The following is a 26,283-nucleotide window of genomic DNA, read 5'->3' on the forward strand; positions in this document are numbered from 1 at the left end:
AACACATCTGACTTATGGGATATATGATAATTCATTATTATAAACTTTTTTTTTGTAAGGCTTCCAGACAAGCTGCAGGAATTCCAGGGATTACTCCAACTGAAGAAAAGTGAGTAATTATTTTCTTGGAATTAAGTAGAGTTAATTCTTCATTATTGATATCAAGACTAAACCATATTTTTAGCCAATCATGGTAGCTGTTGCCAGCTACTGAGGAGGTTGAGGTGGAAGATCGCTTGAGGCCAGGAGTTTAATGCTTCAGTGAGCTATGATTGTGCCACTGCACTCCAGCCTAGGCGACAGAGCCAGACCCTGTTTCTAAAAAAAATAAATAAGTAAAAAGAAAACTAAGGTTATTTTGTGGTAGGACTAGGCAGACAGATGGAATAGAGTAGGTAGTTCAGAAGACAAACCAAAATGATAAACCATATTTTTAGATCACTCATCTTATTCAATTCAATTCCTTTGATTGCCCTAAATTTACCTTGGCATGTAACCTAAACTTTGTTAACAGAAAGGAGGGTCGTGTAAATCAAAACATTTCATTGCTTTCACTTCCCCTTGCCAGAGAAAGCTGAAAAGAGGATTAAGATAGAAGGAAAGAAGGAAAAGATTGCCATAGCTGATCTGATGATTTTCACCAGCCGATGATGTCCATTGTCATCTCAGAATTAGGTGCTGGGAAAGTGGGATAGCTTTCCAGTATCTAAGTCGGATGTTCCTATGGAGCTTTCTTATTTGGTTTGAAGTGTTAAGAATTCTTAAAATATCAGACAAATCCATATCTAAATATAACTATAGAAATATAGCAAGAAGGCAAATATAATTGAGTTTTGGATTTTGCAGTAATTTGAATTTCATGAACCTTTGTTCTCATTTATTGATACAGTTAATTCAGAGTCAACTGTTGTTTTTCTCATTTTTCCAAATTAAATTGATTATTTTGTCAAATGTTGCTCTTTTGCCAGAGATGGTAATCTTCCAGATATTGTGAATAGTGGAAGTTTGCATGAGTTCCTGGTTAATTTGCATGAGAGATATGGGCCTGTGGTCTCCTTCTGGTTTGGCAGGCGCCTCGTGGTTAGTTTGGGCACTGTTGATGTACTGAAGCAGCATATCAATCCCAATAAGACATGTAAGTTTAATTTTCTTTCTAATTACCTGATCCTTACCTTTTAAGAATGAATGTTTAGGCTGGGCACGGTGGCTCACACCTGTAATCCCAACACTTTGGGAGGCTGAGGCAGGTGGATCACATGAGGCCAGGAGTTCGAGACCAGCCTGGCCAACATGGTGAAACCCCTTCTCTACTAAAAATACAAACACTAGTCGGGTGTGGTGGCACACACCTGTAATCCCAGCTACTTGGGAAGCTGAGGCATGAGAATCTCTTGAACCCCGGGGGCGGAGGCTGCAGTGAGCCAAGATTGTGCCACTGTACTCCAGCCTGGGCGACAGAGCGAGACTGTCTCAAAAAAATAAAAAAAGAATTAATGTTTATAAATAAAAACTGTATATATATATTGTTCTTGGATAGGAATAGCCAACATTTATTGAATGCTTTGTACTATGTGCTAGGCACTGTGCTGATGTCTTATTGCCTAATTTAAGATAGTATTTTAAATAATTGTGTTTTTCCTTAATTTATAAGCATATATGATAAAATCTCAGTGTAAATTCCAACAGGATTTTTTTGGGACCCTGAAAAAATAGTTCCAAGGTATATCTGGAAGAGTAAAGAGTAAATGTACATGAGCAACCAGGAAACAATCCTAAAAAGAGTATTAATGGGCTGGGCATGGTGGCTCACACCTGTAATCTCAGCACTTTGGGAGGCCGAAGCAGGTGGATCATGAGGTCAGGAGATCGAGACCATCCTAGCCAACATGGTGAAACCCTGTCTTTACTAAAAATACAAAAATTAGCTGAGCGTGGTGAGGTGTGCCTGTAGTCCCAGCTACTCGGGAGGCTGAGGCAAGAGAATTGCTTGAACCTGGGAGGCAGAGGTTGCAGTGAGCTGAGATCGCACCACTGCACTCCAGCCTGGGCAACAGAGTAAGATTCCATCTCCAAAAAACACAGAATATTAATGAGGGAAATACTTGTACCATCAGTTAGTATAGAGTATTATAAAGCTAGATTAAAGAATCTTGTATTGGCCAGGCATAGTGGCTCACACCTGTAATCCCAACATTTTAGGAGGCCAAGGTGGGAGGATCACTTGAGCCCAGGAGTTCAAGACCAGTCTGGGCAACATAGTGAGACCCCATTGCTACAAAAAATACAAAAATTAGCCAGATGTGATACATGTGCCTGTAGACCTAGCTACTTGGGAGGCTGAGGTGGGAGGATTGCTTGAGTTCGGGAGGTTGAGGCTTCAGTGAGCCAAGGTTGCGCCACTCTACTCCAGCCAGGCAGCCAGGGGACAGGGCAAGAACCTGTCTCTTGAAAAAAAAGAATCTCCTGGCCGGGCGTGATGGCTCCTGCCTGGTGTCCCAGCACTTTGGGAGGCCAAGGCAGGCAGATCACATGAGGTCAGGATTTCGAGACCAGCCTGGCCAACATGGTAAAACCCTGTCGCTACTAAAAATACAAAAATTAGCCAGGCCTGGTGATGTGCGCCTGTAATCCCAGCTACTTGGGAGACTGAGGCAGGATAATCTCTTGAACCCGGGAGGCAGAGGTTGCAGTGAGCTGAGATCATACCACTGCGCTCCAGCCTGGGTGACAGAGGGAGACTCCATCTCAAAAAAAAAAGACTCTCATACTGTGGTCAAGCTAGGCAAACAGATGTAAAAGAGTAGAGAGTTCAGAAGACAAACCAAATATGTATGATAAAGATAGCATTTTATGACAAAAGGGAAAAGTAATAAATGTTTTGGGGAATATTGGTTAGCTATTTGTAAAAAATAAATCTCAATCCCTGCCTTATTCTATTCCCCCCGCCCCGCCCAGCTTTTGCCCAGGCTAGAGTGCAGCAGTGCTATCATAGCTCTCTGTATAACCTACAACTCCTGGGCTCAAGCAATCCTCCCACCTCAGCCTCCTGAGTAGGTGAGACTATAGGCATGCACCACCATGCCTGGCTAATTTATTTACTTTTTAGTGGAGATGAGGTCTTGCTACGTTGCCCAGGCTGGCCTCCAACTCCTAGACTCAAGCGATTCTCCCACCTCTGCCCTCCAAAATGCTGGGATTATAGGTGTGAGCCACTTCACCTGGCCTCTGCCTTATTTCTTATATAAAAATAAATTCTAGATGATTAAAATATCAGGTCATAAAGGTAATACAAGAAAACATGGTTAAATATTAAATTTTTTCTCTTTGGTTGGAGAGAATGTAGATAAACCTCTTACAATGGTACAAGATCTAGAAGCTATAAAACACAAGTTAGATAAATCTGTCTACATAAAAATGAAAAATTTTAGTACAATAACAAACATCTTGAATGGATGCGGTAGCACATAGCTGTAGTCCCAGCTACTCAGGAAGCCGAGGTGCGAAGATCGCTTGAACCCAAGAGTTGAAGACCAGTCTGGGAGACACATTGAGACTGTCTCTAAATTAAAAACAAAGTCAAAATCACCTTGAGAAAGGAAGAAAGAGAGATGGTAAAATGTTGGCCACACATTGCTACACCTGATGTGTAGTAATTGATTACCATATTTTTGTTAAATAAAAAGGCACCATGACAAAATTTAAAAGAGAAATGGAAAAGTAATTTACCACCAATATGTTAAATATATATAGTCCTTAAAAACTAATAAGAAAAAATAGGCCAGGCATGGTGGCTCACGCCTGTAATCCCAGCACTTTGGGAGGCTGAGGTGGGCAGATCACCTGAGGTCAGGAGTTCGAGACCAGCCTGGCCAACATGGTGAAACCCCGTCTCTACTAAAAATACAAAAATTAGCTGAGCATGGTGGCAGATACCTGTAATCCCAGCTACTGGAGAGGCTGAGGCATGAAAATCGCTTGAACCTGTGAGGTGGAGGTTGTGGTAAGCCGAGATCAAGCCATTGCACTCCAACCTGGATGACAGATCGAGACTCCATCTCAAAAAAGAAAAAAAATGCCCTTTTAGAAAAATGGGCAAAAACAAGCTCATTAAGAAAGGAGTAAACAAATTTAAAGATTTCAGCCTCACTAATACTCAGCTGGGTACAAATAAAAATGAGAAATTTTACTTATCTCCCTAGAAGAGATGAAGAATACTGGCAGAACACACTGTTGATGAGGGAATGGGAAATCATGTGGTGTACATGTACTATACAAGCTCTCTGGAGAAAAAGTTGACAGTAACCATTGACCTAACAATAATATCTTAAGGAGTTGATCCATAAATTGATCATCACAGATGTGAGAAAATATTTATATTAGCATTGTTTATAAAAAAAAATTTGAAGCAACCTAAATATCAATGGCTGAATAAATGAATACTTTCAGGCCTGAATACGATGATGTAGATTGATTTTATCAGATACTTATATAGCAATTATGATATCTCAGCACTATTCCAAGCCCTTTACAAATATTAACTCATTTAATTCTCAGAACAACTTCATGAAGAAGGTATTATGGTTATCCCTTTTTTGTGGAAGAGAAACCTGAGGTACAGAGAGGTTAAGTTACTTGCCTAAGGTCACAGCTAATTAGTGATGGAGCTAGGACTTGAAGTCAGGCAATCTGGTTCAAGATTGTGCTTTTGTAGAACAAGGATCTCTGAGGAAGAAAAAAAAAAGATTGTGCTTTTAATTACTAGGCTTTATACAACATGAAAAGATGGCTCTGTCAGGGAATATAATGAGGAAAACCAGAATGGTCTCTGCTCCTATGGAGTTTCTAGGCTAATGTTGGAGAGTGAGGGAAGTATGTAAACATTCAAATTATCACACTAATGAACTGAGAGAAGTGCTCTGAAAGAGGAGAATGTAGTTCTTTGTGAAATCTGACAGATTTTTCTGTCTCTCTCTCTGTTAAGAAATGATAACAGCTAGGCCGGGTGCGGTGGCTCACGCCTGTAATCCCAGCGCTTTGGGAGGCCGAGGCGGGCGGATCACGAGGTCAGGAGATCGAGACCATCCTGGCTAACACGGTGAAACCCCATCTCCACTAAAAATACAAAAAATTAGCCGGGCATGCTGGCAGGAGCCTGTAGTCCCAGCTACTCGGGAGGCTGAGGCAGGAGAATGGCGTGAACCCGGGAGGCGGAGCTTGCGGTGAGCCAAGATTGCGCCACTGCACTCCAGCCTGGGGGACAGAGCGAGATTCTGTCTCAAAAAAAAAAAAAAAAAAAAAAGAGATGATAACAGCTGTGAAAAATGTCTAAAATGTTAACAGTATCTCGGATGCATTTTGCTGTCTTTTCTGTATTGTTTGAATTGTTTTTACAATGACAGTGTATCTTTGTATGCGTGTGAAAACAATAGTCATTAAAGAAACAAGAATTGGAGAAAATAAATTTTTGAATCCAGCTAAATAATTTTACTGTAATACTTGATAACCACAAATCACAAACTTATCCATTTTGCTTTAAAATCAGGGGAATGTGCTTTTTTTAAAAAAATTTGAAGACATTATAGTTATGTAGGTAGAAAATTTATGTCTGTATTAATGACTTAACAGTGGAATTCCCAGTCAGGATATTGTGTTCTTGCCAATTTTCACTGACTCTTAAATTGTTCATATTTTAAAAACAGTTTGCTGGGTGCGGCAGCTCATGCCTGTAATCTCAGCACTTTGGGAGGCTGAGGCAGGCGGATCACTTGGGATCAGGAGTTCGAGACCAGCCTGGCCAACATGTTGAAACCCCGTCTCTACTAGAAGTACAAAATTAGCCAGGAGTGTTGGCACACGCCTGTAATCCTAGCTACTTGGGAGGCTGAGGCAGGAGAATTGCTTGAAACTCGGAGGCGGAGGTTGCAGTGAGCCGAGATCATGACATTGCACTCCAGCCTAGGCGAGAAGAGTGAAACTCTGTCTCAAAAGAAAACTATATATATATGTGTATATATATATATATATATATATAAAAAATAAAAAATAAAAACAAGGGAATTATGAAAAACAGTTGCCATGCTTTCAGCTACAATTCTTTACCTCCCTGATCTCTTGTTCTCTTACAGGGTATCTTTTTGAGTGATTATTTTGATACAGAAATATTTAATTTGTCTGTTTCAGCGGACCCTTTTGAAACCATGCTGAAGTCATTATTAAGGTATCAATCTGGTGGTGGCAGTGTGAGTGAAAACCACATGAGGAAAAAATTGTATGAAAATGGTGTGACTGATTCTCTGAAGAGTAACTTTGCCCTCCTCCTAAAGGTAAGGTGATAAGTAGTTTGGTCTAGTGTTCTACAACATAAATAATAGTATTTATTTTTTGAGTATTGGTGTGTACTATCTTTGTTACTCTTTTCTTTCCTGTCCCTCTAAGCTAATTTTATTCTGAAATTAAAAACGACAACAATAACAAAACACACACACACAAAAGAAAAGAAAACAAAAATCTTAACATCCAGACTCACTGTATAAGTTGGAATGATGAGAGTAGAGAGCACCTGAAGAAGTTTCTGTATGTATGTATGTGTATATATATATATATATTTTGTTGTTGTTATTGTTGTTGAGACAGAGTCTCACTCTGTCACCCAGGCTGGAGTACAGTGGTGTGATCTCGGCTCACTGCAACCTCCGCCTCTTAGGTTTAAGCAATTCTCGTGCCTCAGCCTCCCTAGTAGCTGGGATTACAGGTGCGCACCATCACACCGGGCTAATTTTTGTATTTTTAGTAGAGGCAGGGTTTCACCATGTTGGCCAGGCTGGTCTCAAACTCCTGACCTCAAGTGGTCTACCCACCTCTGCCTCCCAAAGTGCTCCATGATAGGAGTTTTCAGATGCTGCTTGGCTTTGGAGAGTTCCTTATTCCCACTACACCTCTGAGCTGTAGGGCAGCTCCTATTAGCCGTATGCAGATTGCCACTAGTCTTAGTTGGCCCCACACTTTCTCGGAGCACACAGTCCACGCTAAGAGATCTGTGACTCCCCACTTCGCGGTTGATGAGCCTAATTAGGGCCCTCCATTCACACACTTTCACACACTTCCCCACTCCTAGTTCCTATGTTCGTAATTGGGGTGGTGAGAGTGGCCACCCAGTTTCCCAGTTGGGGTGGCGAGCCATTTTCGTCACCTCCAGTTTCCTAGTTGGGGTGGCGAGCCACTCTTGCCACCTCCAGTTTCCTTTTTGTAACTGTCTTAGCGAGCCACTCTCACGTCCTGTGTTGGTTCGGGTGTGAGTTTCATATGAATTGACGAGCCACTCTTGTCACCCCAAGCCCCTCTGGGTCAGACTATTCGGCACACCCCAGGAGGTGATCAGGCTCCCCTTCTGTCCCCACGGGTCCTGCCTTGGGCCCCAAAACCTTACTGCGGTTCCTGAAGCGCACTGTTTCTGAAATTGTCCTATAGCCCCTCTTTAGGTTCTGTTGTGCTGCTGGGTAGGGGCGCCAGGTCAGGGGAGAGCTGATCTCCCCTATGGGCTGAAGTTCTCCCGGCAGTGCCTGGGGTGACAGGTCTCCCCTGGCCCAGGGCTCCGGGCTCCATCCTCCAGAGGCAAAGGAGACAGTAAGCCTGCCATCTCGGGTCCTTTCATGGTCACCAAAAATGTTGTGGGGAACTGAGGACCAGAGAGACTGATATGGAGAACAGGAGGATTGTTTATTTTAAGGTACGCACCGGCTCAGTGGATTCACATCCAAAAAACTAAACATTGAACAAAGACAGAACGTGGTTTTTATAAGCAGATTTACAGAAGCAAAACAAAAGCAGTTAATCATACAGTGACAGGTCACATAATCTATAGCATAACATAAGTTGTGGCCTTGCATAGCTGGTGAGCTTGTAGCTGCATTGAAAGAAAAACAAGAACTGGTTAAATACAGACATTTGTAATACATAATCATGCTTAAGAAGCCAAGGAAAGGAGTAACAGTAAAAAAATTTGTCTTTTTCTTTTTCTTTTTTTTTTTCCTTTAACCTTGCTCTGGATGGGGGTGGTGGTGTTTGGAGCCTATTCCTTTGGCCTTGGCTTTCTGGACAGTGTTATCTTATAACTGTCCTTGAAGTGAGCTTGCTAGGCAGAGGAAAACTTGTTCTTTTCTTTCTTTTTTTCTTTTTTTTTGATACAGAGTCTCACTCTGTCGCCCAGGCTGGAATGCAGTGGCGTGATCTCGGCTCACTGCAACTTCCGCCTCCTGGGTTCAAGCAATTCTCTGCCTCAGCCTCCCGAGTAGCTGGGATTACAGGCGCCTGCCACCATGCCCAGCTCATTTTTTGTATTTTTAGTAGAGATGGGGTTTCACCATCTTGGCCAGGCTGGTCTTGAACTCCTGACCTTGTGATCCACCACCTCAGCCTCCCAAAGTGCTGGGATTACAGGCATGAGCCACCGTGCCCGGCCTTGTTCTTTTATTTTTAACCCTTGCCTTCCCTGTTACTTAGAGTGAATGAATGCATATTTATTTTTAAATTTCTGCCTCAACTTGAGGTCAGGAGTTCGAGACTGGCCTGCCTAATATGATGAAACCCTATCTTTACTAAAAATACAAAAATTAGCTGCGTGTGGTAGCACATGCCTGTAGTCCTAGCTACTCGGGAGGCTGAGGCAGAAGCATCATGTGAACCAAGGAGGTGAAGGTTGCAGTGAGCCAAGATCATGCCACTCACTGCACTCCAGTCTGGGCGACAGAGCTAGACTCGTCTCAAAAAAAAAAAAAAAATTGTTATCATTCCGGTGTTTTGTGTGCACAATAGAATTTTAATGTAATCAGATTATACTGCGTGGATAGTCTTTGTGTTTTTTATTTACCATTGTATTGTAAGCATTTTTATAGCACTTAGTATTCTTTGAAAATCACATTTGATCTGGGTGTAGTGGCTCACACCTGTAATCTCAGCACTTTGAGAGGCTGAGGTGGGTGGATCGTTTGAGGGCAGGAGTTCCAGACCAGCCTGGCCACCATGGTGAAAGTCCATCTCTACTAAAAATACAGAAAAATTAGCCGGGCGTGGTGGCACGTGTCTGTAGTCCCAGCTACTTAGGATGTTGAGGCATGAGAATCACTTGAACCTGGGAGGCGGAGGTTGCAGTGAGCCAAGATTGCGCCACTGCACTCCAGCCTGGGTAACAGAGTGAGACTCCGTCTCCAAAAAAAAAAAGAGGAAAAAAGAAAAGAAAATCACATTTGAAAAGAATCTCTAATGTCAATTTTACCTTCTAAATGCCTTTCTAATTGATCTACTTCTCTCCCACCAGCATTGCCATCACCCTGGTTTAGATTTCCATGATCTTACCTGGATTGCTTATTTCTCTTTCCCCTTTCCTTCCCATGTATTTTCCCGTGCTTTGCAGTTGACAGATACCTCTTGGCAGTCTGATGAAACCTTCAACTCCTGAGAATAACATTTTTAAATGCATAGCTAAAGCAAACCAATATAGTTACAAAATATTAATACTTTTTAAAAAAACTATGATATTATATTTGCCTCTTTGTTAACGTATTAAATAGCAAGATCTAATAATCCTTCCAGAAACTTCCATGATTTTAAAGTAGTGATGCAAGGGCCAAAATTATTATTATGAGATTTTTCCAGTATTTATAATCGGAACATATTTTGAGATTTGTATTGGTTTAAAAAGTCAGAGCCTATACTCACAATTGAAGGAAATGCTAAGTTTCATTCAGAGGTTAGTTAAAAAGAAAGATTGTTTTTTCCCCTGATCCAAGTTCATGGACTGCACTGGATTCCATGAACAGACCCTTTGGTATCTGTGGACTCTAGTTTGAAAACCCCTTTGTTCTTGGGACAAACTCCAAATTTTTAATGTAGTCTTCAGGACTTTTTATGATTTAGCCTGGCTACTTTTCCAGCCTGGTTTCCCACATTCTCATTTGGCTTATAGTCTAGCCATACTTGTTTTCTTTTAAGTCTTCAGATGTACCCTGTTCCCTCCTATCTCAGGGCCTGTCTATGCTATTCCCATTGCGTGGAATGCACCTCCAGTCATCCACACACCAAGCTAATGTGTGTTCATTTTTCAGCTCCTAGTTTAAATGTCACTTCCCCAGGGACGCTATCTCTGATCATCCCACATTGCTGGATAGGTCCCCTTTTATTTATTTTGTTTTAATTTTTTAAGACAGAGTCTTGCTGTGTTGCCTAGGCTGTAGTGCAATGACCTGATCATAGCTCACTGTAGCCTCAAATTCCTGGGCCCACGGGATCCTCCCACCCCAGCCGCCTGAGTAGCTGGGATTACAGGCATGTGCCACCATGCCTGGCTAGTTGTTTTTAAAATTTTTTGTAAAGACGTGTGTCTCATTATGTTTCCTAGGCTGGTCTTGAACTCGTGGCCTCAAGTGTTCCTCCCACCTTCATCTCGCAAAGTGCTGGGATTGCAAGCATGAGCCACTGCACCCGGCCAGTTTCCCCTTTTAGATGCTATCATAACACCCCGTGCCTTTCCTTTACAACACTTTTCCCGGTTTATAATTCTGTTTTATTTATTTATTTTTATTTTTATTTTCTTTTTGAGATGGAGTCTCGCTCTGTCTGCCAGGCTGGAGTGCAGTGGTGCAATCTTGGCATACTGCAACCTCTGCCTCCCGGGTTCAAGCAATTCTCCTTCCTTAACCTCCCTAGTAGCTGGCATTACAGGTGCATGCCACAACGCCCGGTAATTTTTGTATTTTTAGTAGAGGCAGGGTTTCGCCATGTTAGTCAGTTTGGTCTCAAACTCCTAGCCTCAGGTGATCCGCCTGCCTCAGCCTCCCAAAGTGCTGGGATTACAGGCGTGAGCCACCGCACCCACCAGTAATTCTATTTTTTGTAATCCTTTGAGTGTCTGTCTCCCTCACTTAAGTGTGTGCTCCGTGAAGGTAGGGACTATTTTATTTTGATTACTGCTGTATACTTGGCTCTTGTTATAGAGCAGGCCCTCAGTCAATATTTATTACATCAGTGAATGAATACTGATAACTTAATGTTCCTAAATTATTTGACTCCTCTCTTACTTCCATAGGTCTGTCTTTTTTCTCCTCTGAAACATTTTTCCCAGCCTTGCATGGCTAACTTCTACTCCAGCCTCCAGTTTAGTTAAATATGCTTCCCTCCATGTACCATCTCTAAACTTCCATAACAACTGGATATATTTACATAAAATTAAGATTTTTTTTTGTTTTTTATTATTTTTTAAAATTTTCACATACAGTTGGGGTCTCACCATGTCGCCCAGGCTGGTCTCAAACTCCTGGGCTCAAGCAGTCCACTCACTTTGGCCTCCCGTGATGAGACCCTGTCTCTACAAAAAAAAAAAGAGAAAAATTAGCTGAGCATGGTGGTGTATGCCTGTGGTCCCAGCTAATCGAGAGTCTATGAGGCGGGAGGATCGCTTGAGCCTGGGAGGCAGAGGTTGCAGTGAGCCAAGGTTGCGCCACTGCACTCTAGCCTAGGCGACTGTGAGACACTGTCTCAAAAAAAAAAAAAAAAATTCCATTTGGTCAGTTTGGGTTTATTTTCCTTTCCCTCTTCTATAACTTTGTTTATTCTTCCTAAAAATGTTCTGACTACACATTGTAAGCATTTTTGTATTTAAATATCTGGTAGTTCTCTTAAGAGTATGCCTTATTAAATTTAAAAATATCCATTAAAAAATTTTTTTTTTGCCGGTCTCAGTGGCTCACGCCTATAATCCCAGCACTTTGGGGGGCCGACGCAGGTGGATCACAAGGTCAGGAGTTCAAGACCAGCCTGGCCAACAAAGTGAAACTCCGTCTCTACTAAAAATACAAAAAATTAGCTGGGCGTGGTGGCAGGCGCCTGTAATCCCAGCTACTCAGGAGGCTGAGGCAGGAGAATTGCTTGAACCCAGGAGGCAGAGGTTGCAGCAAGCTGAGATCGCTCCACTGCACACCAGCCCAGGCAACAGTGCATGGACTCCATCTCAAAAAGAAAAAAAAAAATGTGGTTACTTAGTAGGTGTATATATTTATGGGGTACATGAGGTATTTTGATACAGACATACAATGTGTAATAATCACATTAGGGTAAATCAGGTATCTTTTTTTATTTTTTTCAGTCAAGGTCTCGCACTGTTGCCTGGGCTCAAGTGCAGTGGCACAATTATAGCTCACTGGAGCATCGAATTCCTGGGCTGAAGGGATCCTCCTGCCTCAGCCTCCTGAGTAACTAGGACCACAGGCACGTGCCACCCTGCCCAGCTAATTTTTGTATTTTTATGTAGAGATGCGGTCACACTATATTTCCTATGCTACTCTTAAAATCCTGGTCTCAAGTGATCCTCCTGCCTCGGGCTCCCGAAGCACTAGGATTACAGGTGTGAGCCACTGTGCCTCAGGCCTTTACAGTATCCACTTTTAAAAATTACATTTGGAAGCTGGGCATAGTGGCACATGCCTGTATTCCCAACTACTCAGGAGGAAGGATCGCATCAGCCCAGGAGTTCAAGGGTATTGTGAGTGATAATTGTGCCTGTGAATAGCCCCTGCACTCCTGCCTGGGCAACATAGCAGGACCCTATGTTTAAAAAAAAAAAAAAAAAAAACGGTTAGTAAATGTTGAATGCCATTTTTCCCATATGGAAGTTCTAGCTGAAACTCACACTTTCCATTTAAGACTTGAGACTGACTTTCTCAGTCCACTGTAAGCATTAATTAATACATTGGTTCTACTCTGCACACTTCTGCTTCTAAAAACAAACTGAACAAGACCTTCCTTTGCCTGTGGTTGCTGCTGATTAGTTTCTATCTTTTCCAGCTTTCATCTGTAACTGATAGCCAGTATTCTCAGGGCTATCAGGAGGCTTGTGCACCCAAATTCCCATTCTCTCATTGTTACCATTCCTGTTTTGTATCTCAAGGTTCTGTATTGGTTGTACATACGTCGTGTTCTTTGAAGCTCTCAGGCTGCCTGCTTTTTGTTTGCCATAGCTGTTCCTGTTACCTCTCATTTTCCTCCCTGGAGGCAGTTATGTTGCCTCTATTTAAGCACTCACCAGTCAGAATCTTCCTATTCTGCTTAAATACCCAACATTTGTCAGTAAGAAATAATTTTGTATTTAATTGTGTATCCCCAGGAATTTTGCCCATTTCTCTTTGCCTTGCTTTCAATCATGATAGAAGCACCTTTTTCTTTTCAATAATATTATTGTTAAAAGCCTTAATTATTTTGTCTTCTCTGCTTCAAACTAAGTAATTCTGACTTCCTTAATCTTTTATCACAGGCTCTGTTCTCCAAACTTTCAGTCTTTTCTGTTGTTCCATATTCCATTGTTTTCTCCTCCTACTCATTCAGAGGCAAATTAAGGTGGTTTTTTAAGTTTTGGTTTGTAGACTATGTCGTTATGTGAGAAATTTACTTTAGTTTTGTATTGTCAACCCCATAGCACAAGCCAGGTACTTAATTTAGGCATTAGTCAGTGATATAGTTTGAATATTTGTCCCTGCGCAAATCTCATGTTGAATTGTAATCCCCAGTGTTGGGGGTGGGGCTTGGTGGAAGGTGATTGGATCATGGGAGTGGAGTCCTCATGGCTTGGTGCTATCCTCACGGTAGTGAATTCTTGTGAGATGTTGTTTAAAAGTGTGTGGCACCTTCCCCCCTCTCTCTTGCTCCTGCTTTTGCCATGTGACCTGCTACCTCCCCTTTGCCTTCTGCCATGATTATAAGCTTCCTGAGGCCTCATCAGAAGCCAGGTAGGCACCTGGCACCATGCGTTCTTTATAAATTACCCAGTCGCAGCCGGGCACAGTGGCTTTTGCCTGTAATCCCAGCACTTTGGGAGGCCAAGGCGGGCAGATCACGAGGTCAGGAGTTCGAGACCAGCCTGGCCAATATGGTGAAACCCCATCTCTACAAAAAATACAAAAATTAGCCAGGCGTGGTGGCACATGCCTGTAGTCCCAGCTACTTGGGAGGCTGAGGCAGAAGAATCGCTTGAACCTGGCTAATTTTTGTATTTTTAGTAGAGACGGGGTTTCACCATGTTGGCCAAGCTGGTCTCGAACTCCTGACCTCGTGATCTGCCCACCTCAGCCTCCCAAAGTGCTGGGATTACAGGCATATCTTTTTATTTTTTTTTGAGACAGAGTCTCACTCTGTCATCCAGGCTGGAGTGCAGTGGCACTATCTCAGCTCACTGCAACCTCCACCTCCCAAGTTCAAGTGATTCTTCAGCCTCAGCTTCCTGAGTAGCTGGGATTACAGGCACCGACCACCATGCCCAGCTAAATTTTGTATTTTTAGTAGAGACAGGGTTTCACCATGTTGGTCAGGCTGGTCTTGAACTCCTGACCTCAGGTGAGCCACATGCCTTGGCCTCCCAAAGTGCTGGGATTGCAGATGTGAGCCACTGTGCCCAGCCTATTTATTTATTTTTTGAGACAGTGTCACTCTGTCGTCCAGGCCGGAGTGCAGTGGCGCAATTTCTGCTCATCACAACCTCCACCTCGCGGGTTCAAGCAGTTCTTGTGCCTCAGCCTCCCAAGTAGCTGGAAGTATAGGCGTGTGCCACGACGCCCGGCTAATTTTATATTTTTAGTAGAGACGGAGTTTCACCATGTTGGCCAGGCTGGTCTTGAACTCCTGACCTCAGGTGATCCATCCGCTTCGGCCTCCCAAAATGCTGGGATTACAGGCGTGAGCCACCGCGTCTGGCCTGTTTTTAATTTTTAGAGACAGGGTCTCGCTTTGTCACCCAGACTGGAGTGCAGTGGCACAGTCATACCTTAATACACCTTCCTGCACCTCGGCTCAAGTGATCCTCCAGCCTCAGCCTCCCAAGTAGCTAGGATTACAGGTGTGTGCCACCATGGCCAGCTAATTTTTAAATTTTGTTTTTGGTAGAGAGAGGGTCTCATTTTGTTGCCCACCCTGGCCTTGAACTCCTGACTTCAAGCCATCATCTGTCCTTGGCCTCCCAAAGACCTAGGATTACTAGCATGGGCTACCAAGCCCAGCTGGTATCTGAGATTAATGATAATTTATTTCCTTTTTTCCAACTTTAAGATTTTTAGTTTGTTTTCCTGCTTTATTGCCAAACATTCCATTATATATTTAATGTCTTTAAGATTCATAGTGCTTTCTCTCTCTCTCTTTTTTCTTATTCTTTTTTTCTCTTTTTTCTTGATTAGTGTTTCCAGAGGTCTTTATCTGTATGGGTCCATTGGGAGAGAGAAGGCATATAATTATTTGAACAGAGAAAGTTTTATATTAAGAATTATAGGCTGAGCATGGTGGCTCACATCTGTAATCCCAGCACTGTGGGAGGCCAAGGTGGGAGGATTGCCTGAGTCCAGGAGTTCAAGACCCGCCTGGGCAACATAGTGAGACCCCACCTCTACAAAAATAAAAAAAAATAAAGAATTATAATAGGGGCTACTCTAAGGAGAACTCTAAAGAATATAGGAATACAGCTGGGCACAGTAACTTATGCTTATAATCCCAGCACTTGGAGAGGCTGAGGTGGGAGGATTGCTTGAGTTCAGAAGTTTAAGACCATCCTGGGCAAAATGGCAAGACCCTGTCTCTACAAAGAAAAATTTAAAAATATATATTAGCTGGGTATGGTAGTGCATGCCTATAGTTCCAGCTACTCAGGAGGCAAGGCAGGAGGATGGGAGGATCCCTTGAGCCCAGGAGCTACAGGATGCAGTGCTCAGTGATCACTCCAGCCTGGCCTGGAGTGCAGTGGCATGATCACTGCGCACTGCATCCTGTAGCTCCTGGGCTCCTTTGTCACCTAAAAAAAAAAAAAAAAAAAAGGAATAGCAGATATATGGAACAGTCACAAACCCCAGAGCCAAGACAGAGGGCACTAAAAAGACTCCTCTTCCTCAGGACTCAGATTCAGGCTTCTTGGAGGAGCCACAGCTGCTATGAATGGCAGAGGGGTTGCTATGGTGCCATATTAGCAAAACTTGTTGCAAATCTGCCCTTTGGACCTGGTTGGAAATTTGTCCTCTAGTATGCTGTCCTCTAGGGTGGTGGGGAAAGCTGTTCGTGGAGAGGTGTCTCACCTGAGGCACAACTGTTTTCGGGGAGTTGGCAGGGCAAGCTGCTGGCCACTCCATGCTGCAGGAGGTGCTGCAGGGTTGGAGGACATCTCTTACAAAAGCATCCAAGGGGAGGGCTGATGGGGGAAGCTGCTGACTGCTTTCCAGTGCACTGCAGGACCCTGACACTGGAAAGCTTCAGACATCACAGTGGCCTGCTCTGTGACAAGCAGGGGAACAAAGAAGCAAAACTCTTCTTACAAATGCCTTTCTAGCACCTTATACTGAGAAAGCTTAACATCATGCCAGGTGGCAAAGGAAAAATATGTAAAGGACCCAAGTCGATTTTTATATTATTTTATTTTATTATTTATTTTTAAATTAGAGATGGTGGTCTCACTATGTTGCCAAGTCTGGCCTCAAACTCCTGGCCTCAAGTGATCCTCCTGCCTCAGCCCCTCAAAGTGCTGGGATTACAGATGTACACCACCATGCCAGACCTGCAAGTCTATTAACAGCGAGGCAGAAAGAATGAATTTATAGGTCGGGGCAATACATTTGTAACTGATATAGTGTCTTCGAATTTTGTTAAATTTTTTTACATGAACCAACTTTTTTTTCTATATATTTGTTTTCTAATTTTGTTTATGCTCTTATGTTTATTTCCTTCCTTCTGCTTTCATTGGTTAACTTGCTATTCTTTTTCTAGTTTCTTGAGATGATTGCTTAGATCGTTAATAAACAGTGCTTTCCCTCCCAATATATGAATTTAAGTCTATACATTTCCCTCTATATTTCTGTCATATACAAGTTTTTGTTGTTGTTGTTGTTGTTTGTTTTTTGTTTTTTTTTGAGACGGAGTCTTACTCTCGTCCAGGCTGGAGTGCACTGGCGCGATCTCGGCTCACTGCAAGCTCCGCCTCCCGGGTTCACGCCATTCTCCTGCCTCAGCCTCGTGAGTAGCTGGGACTACAGGTGCCTGCCACCACGCCCTGCTATTTTTAGTAGAGATGGGGTTTCACCATGTTAGCCAGGATGGTCTCAATCTCCTGACCTCGTGATCCGCCCGCCTCGACCTCACAAAGTGCTGGAATTACAGGCGTGAGCCACTGTGCCCGGCAAGTGCTTTTTGTTTTCTGTTTTTTGTTTTTTTTTGAGACGAAGTCTTGCTCTTGTCCCCCAGGCTGGAGTGCAGTGGCGCGGCTCACTGCAACCTCCGCCTCCTGGGTTCAAGCAGTTCTCCTGCCTCAGCCGCCCTAGTAGCTGGGATTACAGGCTCCTGCCACTATGCCCGGATAATTTTTGTATTTTTAGTAGAGACGGGATTTCACCACGTTGGCCAGGCTGGTCTCGAACTCCTGACCTCAGGTGATCAGCCCACCTCGGCCTCCCAAAGTGCTGGGATTACAGGCGTGAGCCACTGCGCCTGGCTTTTTTTTTTTTTTTAAATTTTAGGCGGAGTCTCCCTCTGTCGCCAGGCTGGAGTGTTGTGGCGCGATCTCGGCTCACTGCAACCTCCAACTCCGTGGTTCAAGTGATTCTCCTGCCTCAGCCTCCCGAGTAGCTGGGATTACAGGCGCCTGCCACCAGGCCTGGCTAATTTTTGTATTTTCAGTAGAGAATGGGTTTCACCATGTTGGCCAGGATGGCCTCGATGTCCTGACCTCATGATCTGCCCGCCTCGGCCCCCCAAAATGCTGGAATTACCGGCGTGAGCCACCGCTCCCGGCCCGTATGCAAGTTTTGATGTGCTATATTTCCATTATCATTTAGTTCAAAATAGTTTCTAATTTCCATTGTGCTTTCTTCTTTAGCTTAAGGGTTATCTACAAGTATAGTGCTTAAATTCCAGAAAGGTAGAATTTTTCTAGTTATCTGTTTTGTATTGATTTCTAGCTTAATTGCACTAATGGCAGAGAACCAATGATTTCAATCCTTTGAAATGTCTTTGAGACTTGCTCTGTGTCCCTGCATATGGTTGTTTTTGGTAAATAAAATGGTGTGCTCTGTTACTGTTGTTGATCTTTTTTATACGCTTGTTCTTTTTAGCTGCTGAGAGGAGTTTTCTTCCTCTGTAATTGTGGATTTGTGTATTTTTTATTTTAGCTCTGTTGAGCTCTGTCAGGTTTTTGTGTGGGGGGCGTGGGTGTTTTGTTTTTGTTTTAGAGACATTTCTTGCTCTGTCACCCAGGCTGGAATGCAGTGGTGTGATCATGGCTCAGTGCAGCCTTGAACACCTGGACTCAAGCGATCCTCCCAAGTAGCTGGTACAGGTGTGCACCCCATGCCTAGCTAACTTTTAATTTTTTTTGTAGAGTTGAGGTATCACTGTGTTGCCCAGGTTTGTCTCAAACTCCTGGCCTCAAACAGTCCTCCCACTTTAGCCTCCTAAAGCTCTGGGATTACAGGCATGAGCCACCGTGTCTAGCCTCTGTCAGTTTTTGGTTTATATGTTTGGAAGTTAGGACATTGAATGTTTTCCAACTTAGTCTTATTATATATTCTTGGTACTGACTACTTTGTCGTTATGAAATATCCCTCTTTATCTCTAGTAATATTTCTTGCCTTAAAGTTTATTTTTCCTGATATTAACTCCACTAGCTTTCTTTCAGTTAGTGTTTAATGTTTTATTGTTTTTCATTATTTTACTTTCAACCTCTCTGTCATCATAATTGGAGGATTTCTCCTGGGACTAGTATATAGTTGTATTTTTTTAATCCAGCCTATTTTAATCTTTTAATTGAAATATTCTGTTCATTTATAGCTAATGAAATTTCTGATGCACATGGGTTTAAATTTTACTCTTTGTATACCATTTGCTACTTGTTTTCTATTTGAGCTACCTCTTTTATACTTTTATATTTTTTTTATATTTCCTTTCTTTCGTTTTTTAGACGGAGTCTCACTCTGTCGCCCAGGCTGGAGTGCAGTGGTGCAATCTCAGCTCACTGCAAGCTCTGCCTCCTGGGTTCATGCCATTCTCCTGCCTCAGCCTCCCAAGTAGCTGGGACTACAGATGCTTGCCACCACACCCGGCTAATTTTTGGTATTTTTAGTAGAGATGGGGTTTCACCACGTTAGCCAGGATGGTCTTGATCTCCTGACCTTGTGATCTGCCCACCTCGGCCTCCCAAAGTGCTGAGATTACAGGCGTGAGCCACTGCGCCTGACCTCTTTCATGCCTTCTTTAGAAATAATAAAATATTTTTGAGTATTCCATTTTCTCTGTTAGCTTATTAGTTACATATTTTAACTATTTTAATATTTGTTTAGAGTAGGACTTTTCACTTTTGGCAGTATTCAAACTTAGGCCTGTGATTATTTATTGTAGAGGGCTATCCTGTGCATGGTAGGATATTTAGTAGCATCTGTGGCTTTTACCTCTAGATGCCAGTAGCACCTTACCCCAGTTGTGACAATCAAAAAATGTTTCCAAACATTTCTGAATGTCCTTTGGAGACAAAATCACCCTGGTTGAGAACCGCTGCCCTAGAGATTACAATAGGCATTCTTGGCTTATTATAATCTAATGTCAGTGATAACTTTTACCAATTACTCAACAATGCCAGGGTCTTACTAACTCCATATTCTCTCTCCCACCTTTATACTTTGATTTTGTACACTAATTATTCATTTGTCATGCACCCACATTCTGTTATTCATTTTCTGTGTCTTTCTTTCAGAGCTCTTTACTTTCTGTGTGTATCTATGTCTTAAATTTTCCTTCTACCTTTATTTTATATAAAGATAAGGGATTTTGATTCTATCGTAAATCCAGGATGATCTCATTACAGATCCTTAATTTAATTACATCTACAAATGTTTTTTGTTTGTTTGTTTGGTTGGTTTTTTGAGACAGAGTCTCGCTCTTTCACCCAGGCTGGAGTGCGGTGGCATGATCTTGGCTCATTGCAGCCCCGGTCTCCCAGATTCAAGCTATTCTCCTGCTTCAGCCTCCTGAGTAGCTGGGATTACAGGCGTGCACCACCACACCTGACTAATTTTTGTATTTTTAGTAGAGATAGGGCTTTACCATGTTGGCCAGGCTGGTCTCAACTCCTGACCTCAGGTGATCCACCCACCTTTGCCTCCCAAAGTGCTAGGATTACAGGTATGAACCACCGTGCCCGGCCTAAAGCTTGTTTGTAATCTTTTTACTAGACTCTGTTTTTATTCCATAGGTATTTAATAAATATTTGGTGAAGGAAGGAATGACAAAGAGACTCTGAGAGGTTTCTGTCACTGAAGTATGTTTAGGACTTTTATATATATTCATATGTTTATTGATTATTATGTCACAGGCATTCTGTGGCAGACTTTTCATTATTTTTAATTAGATACCAAGAGTATGGTCTTTTAATTTCCGTTGGGTTTAAGTTTTTTCTATCTTTGAGTTTTTAATTTATATTTTCTGTTTTTATTGTCGTGATAGTGGTTCTGTTTTGTTTTACATATCAGCCCTTTGCCAGAAGTTGAACCTGAACCATTGAGGATGCAATTATAGGTGGAGCTAGTGTTAGTCTGACAGATTCGTACCTGAATGTTGACTTTGGTTACAGAGTTTAACTGTTTGCCATTAAATGAATCTACTTAGTAACATTTTCTGAGATTTAGAAAGAAGAAACAGTAATCATTGTGCTTTTCTGTTCTCTTTCAGCTTTCAGAAGAATTATTAGATAAATGGCTCTCCTACCCAGAGACCCAGCACGTGCCCCTCAGCCAGCATATGCTTGGTTTTGCTATGAAGTCTGTTACACAGATGGTAATGGGTAGTACATTTGAAGATGATCAGGAAGTCATTCGCTTCCAGAAGAATCATGGCACAGTAAGTCTGGGGCTAAATTTAAAATTACTCTTTCAGGCTGGGCACGGCAGCTCACACCTGTAATCCCAGCACTTTGGGAGGCTGCAGTCAGGAGTTAAAGACCAGCCTGCCCCACATGGTAAAAACGTGTCTCTACTAAAAATACAAAAATCAGCTGGGTGTGGTGGTGGGTGCCTGTAATCCCAGCTACTCAGGAGGCTGAGGCATGAGAATCGCTTGAACCTGGGAGGTGGAGGTCACAGTGAGCCAAGATCATGCCACTGCACTCCAGCCTCAGTGACAGAGTAAGACTTTGTCTCAAATAAATAAATAAAATTATTCTTTCATCATTAGCCAGGCATGGTGGCATGTGCCTATTGTCCCAGCTACTGAGGCTGAGGCAGGAGGGATTGATTACTTGAACCCAGGAGTTCAAGGCTACAGAGAGCTACCATTGCAGCACTGCACTCCAGCCTGGGAGACAAGAGTGAGACCCTGTCTCTAAAAAATAATAATAATAAATTAAACAATTATTTCATCATACTGGGTAGTTTAATAATGCAGGTTGTTGCCTATCAAGAACAAGGCTTGGCTGGTTGTGGTGGCTCACACCTGTAATCCCAGCACTTTGGGAGGCCGAGGCAGGCAGATCACTTGAGATGAGGAGTTTGAGACCAGCCTGGCCAATGTGGCAAAACCCCATCTCTACTGAAAATAAGAAAAACTAGCCAGGCATGGTGGCTTGCACCTGTAATTCAAGCTACTTGGGAGGCTGAGGCACCAGAATTGCCTGAACCCAGGTGGCAGAGGTTATAGTGAGCCAAGACCGCACCACTGCACTTCAGCTCTGGGTGATGGAGTGAGACTCTTGTCTCACTCCAAAAAAAAAAAAGAAAGATCTTGGCCGGGCGTGGTGGCTCACGCCTGTAATCTCAGCACTTTGGGAGGCCAAGGCAGGTGGATCACAAGGTCAGGAGTTCAAGACCAGACTGGCCAAGATGGTGAAACCCCGTCTCTACTAAAAAATACAAAAATTTGCTGGGCGTGGTGGCAGGAGCCTATAATCCCAGCTACTTGGGAGGCTGAGGCAGAGAACCACCCAAACCCGGGAGCTGGAGGTTGCAGTGAGCTGAGATTGCACCACTGGCACTCCAGCCTGGGCTACAGAGCAAGAGTCCATCTCAAAAAAAAAAAAAAAAAGAGCGATCTCACCGCTGTTTCCAGGATTTTCTTCCAGTTGCTGATATTTATCCTGCATATTTTTATGCTGATGTTTTTTTTCTTTCCTTTCTTATAACCTCAAAATAGAAATAATTTCAAACTTCCAGAAAAGTTACAGTTAATACAAGGAACTCCCTCCCTCCCATATATCCTTCACCCAGGTTCAGCAGTTGTTTACATCTTGCTCCACATGCTTTTGTCATTCATCTTCTATCTTTATCTATCCATCTATCTATCTATCCATCCATTCCTCCCCCTTTCCTCAAACCATTTGAGAGTAGATTCAACATTTTGCCTGTTTTCCTCTAAATATTGCAGTTGATATTTCCTACGAGCAAGGATATTCTCTTATGTATTGACAACATAGTTATCAAGTTTCTTTGGTTGTATCAGTAATAATCTTGTGGATTCTCAGTCTCCTCCCCTCCAATTCCAGGACCCAATTCATGATCACTCAGTACTTGTAGATATCAGATCTCTTTAATCTGGAACAGTTCCTCAGCTTTTCTTCATTTCTAGACCTTTACATTTTTGGATAGTACAGGACAGTTATTTTGTAGACTATCCCTCAATTTGAGTTTGTCTGATATTTCATGAGTAGATTCAAAATACATATTTTTGGCAAGAATGTGATGTTTTCTTAATATTACTAAAAGCTGTCAAAGGAAACTTTTCAGACTATAAACAGGACTTATTCTTCCTCAAATTATTTGTTTTTTTTTTTGTTTGTTTTGTTTTGTTTTTTACATCCACAGCCTTGCCACCAGAGTGGCCTTTCAAAGAATTTTTTTTATTTGTATAAATTTATGGGTTATATGTATAATTTTATTACATGCATAGATTGTGTAGTGGTGAAGTCAGGGCTTTTAGTGTATCCATCACCCAAATAATGTACATTGTACCCATTAAGTGATTTCTTACCCTCCTGCCCACCCCTGAAATGATCTTTTAATGTCTGAAATACCAAGGGATGGCCATTGTCGAGTCATGCCACCAGGAGTAATAACCAATTTGTGAATTCAGAGCCAATGACGACTGCATCATGACTGCTACTTAGATGAAAACAGTTGGGAGATGTCATCAGTTGTAAGATGCATACTGATTTCACAGGTGTTAAAATGTGAAAAAACATACATCTTTCCTTCAGTTGCATATTGTATGTCCTAACTGCCCCCTACAAACATTGTCCCAAGTATTTTTCCACCAATATTAGTGTGCTCTTACTCTGTACTTTTGACAACATTTAGAATTGTTGGTCCTTAAATATTTGCCTTTCTAGGCCAGGTACGATAGCTCATGCCTGTAATCCTAGCACTTTGGGAAGCCAAGGCAGGAGGATTACTTGAGCCTAGAAGTTCAAGACCAGCCTGGGCAACACAGTGAGACCCCTGTCTCCAATTTTTTTTTTTTTTTTTTTTTTAATTAGTGAAGTGTGGTGGCATGCACGCCTGTAGTCCCAGCTACTCAGGAGACTGAGGGGAGGATCACTTGAGCCCAGGAGGATCACACCACCGCACTCCAGCCTGGATGATAGAGTGAGACCCTGTCTCAAAAAACAAAATTTTTGCCTATCCAGTAAGCCAAAAATGACATTTTATGATTGAAATATATAGTTCTTTTTTTTTTTTTTGAGACGGAGTTTCGCTCTTATCGCACAGGCTAGAATGCAGTGGTGCAATCTCGGCTCACTGCAACCTCCACCTCCCAGGTTAAAGCGATTCTCCTGCCTCAGCCTCCCCAGTAGCTGGGATTACAGGTGCCCACCACCACGCCTGGCTAATTTTTGTACCTTTAGTAGAGATGGGGTTTCACCATGCTGACCAGCTGGTCTCGAACTCCTGATCTCAAGTGATCCACCTGCCTCGGCCTCCCAAAGTGCTGGGATTGTAGGTGCTTGTCACCACGCCCAGGTAATTTTTGTATTTTTAGTAGAGATGGGGTTTCACCATGTTGGCCAGGCTGGTCTCGAACTCCTGACCTCAGGTGATCTGCCCACCTCAGCCTCCCAAAGTGCTGGGATTACAGGCGTGAGCCACCATGCCCATGTTGTGTAATTCTTTTATTACTTGTGAGGTTAAACATCTTTTTGCCTTGGTGCAGTGGTTCACCCCTATAATCCTTGCACTTTGGGAAGCTAAAGCAGGAGGATTACTTGAGCCCAGGAGTTTAAGACCAGCCTGGGCAACATGACAAAACCCCATCTTTGCCAAAAAAAAAACGACAGGAAAATTTGCTGCATGTGGTAGTACATTCTTTTAGTCCCAACTGCTTGTGAGGCTGAGGCCAGAGGATTGCTTGAGCCCAGAAGGTGGAGGTTGTAGTGAGCCATGATTGTGCCATGGCGCTCCAGCCTTGGAGACAGAGCCAGACCCTGTCTTAAAAACAAAAAACCAAAAATCATATTTTTATACTTTTGTTAAACACTTGGGTTTTTTTTTATGTCCTCTGCCTATATTTCTTCATTATTTTATTTACTTTTTTGTGACACAGTATCACCATGTTGCCCAGACTGGTCTCAAACTTTTGGGCTCAGGGGATCCTCTGACCTCAGCCTCCCAAATAGCTGGGATTTTAGGCCCACCTGGCTGTTTTGCCTATATTTCTATTTTTGTGTTGCTTTTTCTTACTAATCTAGAACAGCTCTTTATTTCTAATCTCAGTTTTCATTTCCTTTTACATTTATTTATAGTAAATAAAAGTTTTGTGATACTTTTTCAGTATCACAAATGTTACTGTTTTTATGTAGCTAAATCAATTTAACTCTTTCATTGTGAATTTGTGCCTTGTGTTCTGTCATGTTTAGAAACTGCTTTTGAACTTTAAGGGTCTTATATAAATATTTACTTTTTTTTTTCTTTTTTTTTTTTTTTAGGCTGCAGTGCCTCAGTCTCAGCTCACTGCAGCCTTCACCTCCCAGACTCAAGCTATCCTTCCACCTCACCCTCCTGAGTAGCTGGGACCACAGATGCTCACCACCACGCCTGGCTAATTTTTTGTATTTTTTGTAGAGACAGGTTTTCACCATGTTCTCGAACTCCTTAGCCCAAGCAATCTGCCCGCCTTGACCTCCCAAAGTGCTGGGATTATGGGTGTGAGCCACTCCACTCGGCCTACTATTCATTTTTACAGTAGTTTTAATAGTTTGAGTGTATATATATATATATGTATATGTGTATATATATATATATATATATATATATATTTTTTTTTTTTTTTTTTTTTTTGAGACGGAGTCTGGCTCTGTCCCCCAGGCTGGAGTGCAGTGGCGCCATCTTGGCTAACTGCAAGCTCCGCCTCCCGGGTTCACGCCATTCTTCTGCCTCAGCCTCCCAAGTAGCTGGGACTACAGGTGCCCGCCACCACGCCCGGCTAATTTTTTTGTATTTTTAGTACAGATGGGGTTTCACCATGTTGGCCAGGATGGTCTTGAACTCCTGATCTCGTGATCCGCCTGCCTCGGCCTCCCAAAGTGCTAGGATTACAGGCTTGAGCCACCGCACCTGGCCAATAGTTTGATTTTTTAACATTTAAGTAATCTGAAATATTTTCATTTAAGGTAAGGATTGAGGACTTTAAAAAATCTATTGTTTTTCAAATACAGTGTTTAGCCATTGTTTAATAAGTGTTGTGTTCTTTCCCTAAATTCTTTTTAGAACTTTTGAATTAAAATCAGGTTAAAGTTTTTTCAGGGGCTATTGACCAAATTGTGAAAATTTGGAAGCCTATTCTGCTGCTTATCATATCCAAATCTCAGACTTTTAACCTTTTTCTTTACCTCAGCCAATGTTTATCAATATTACAGGTGAAACAGAAATTTGTAATTACCTGTGAATTTTATTTTTACACTTATGCCAGTATAATACAAAAATGAGGGCTGGGCGCAGTGGTTCACACATGTAATCCCAGCACTTTGGGAGGCTGAGGTGGGTGGATCACCTGAGGTCAGGAGTTCGAGACCAGTCTGGAAACCCCATCTCTACTAAAAAATACAAAAATTAGCTGGGCATGGTGGTGGGCACCTGTAATCCCATCTACTCAGGGGGCTGAGGCTGGGAGAATTGCCTGAACTCGGGAGGTGGAAGTTGCAGTCAGCCGAGATCACACCACTGCACTCCAGCCTAGGCAACACAGTGAGACTCTGTCTCGGCGTGGGGGAAGAAAAAATGAGGGTTGACTCTACTGCTGTGT

The 26,283-nt window shown here is 42.5% G+C and overlaps 1 protein-coding gene and 1 pseudogene across 19 annotated transcripts in view; both read left to right on the forward strand.

Moving 5' to 3' along the window:
• CYP20A1 (cytochrome P450 family 20 subfamily A member 1) overlaps positions 1-26,283 on the forward strand; it is a 67,009-nt gene that overhangs the window by 6,769 nt on the left and 33,957 nt on the right. For 7 of the 19 annotated variants that reach the window (NR_163985.1, NR_163981.1, NR_163982.1 and 4 more), the window contains exons 2-5: positions 60-109; positions 969-1,135; positions 6,181-6,323; positions 20,728-20,895. Coding sequence is in view for 9 of the 19 variants with exons in the window: in NM_001371695.1 (NP_001358624.1) it covers positions 60-109; positions 969-1,135; positions 6,181-6,323; positions 20,728-20,895 (528 nt within the window). In the remaining 10 variants the exon portion in view is untranslated. The remainder of the gene's footprint in view (positions 1-59; positions 110-968; positions 1,136-6,180; positions 6,324-20,727; positions 20,896-26,283) is intronic. The other 12 variants (NR_163983.1, NM_001371696.1, NM_001371703.1 and 9 more) reach the window with 3 other exon arrangements.
• Positions 13,818-14,111, forward strand: RN7SL670P (RNA, 7SL, cytoplasmic 670, pseudogene; annotated as a pseudogene).

This window comes from Homo sapiens, chromosome 2 (genome assembly GCF_000001405.40).
Source record: "Homo sapiens chromosome 2, GRCh38.p14 Primary Assembly".
Lineage (NCBI taxonomy): Eukaryota > Metazoa > Chordata > Mammalia > Primates > Hominidae > Homo > Homo sapiens.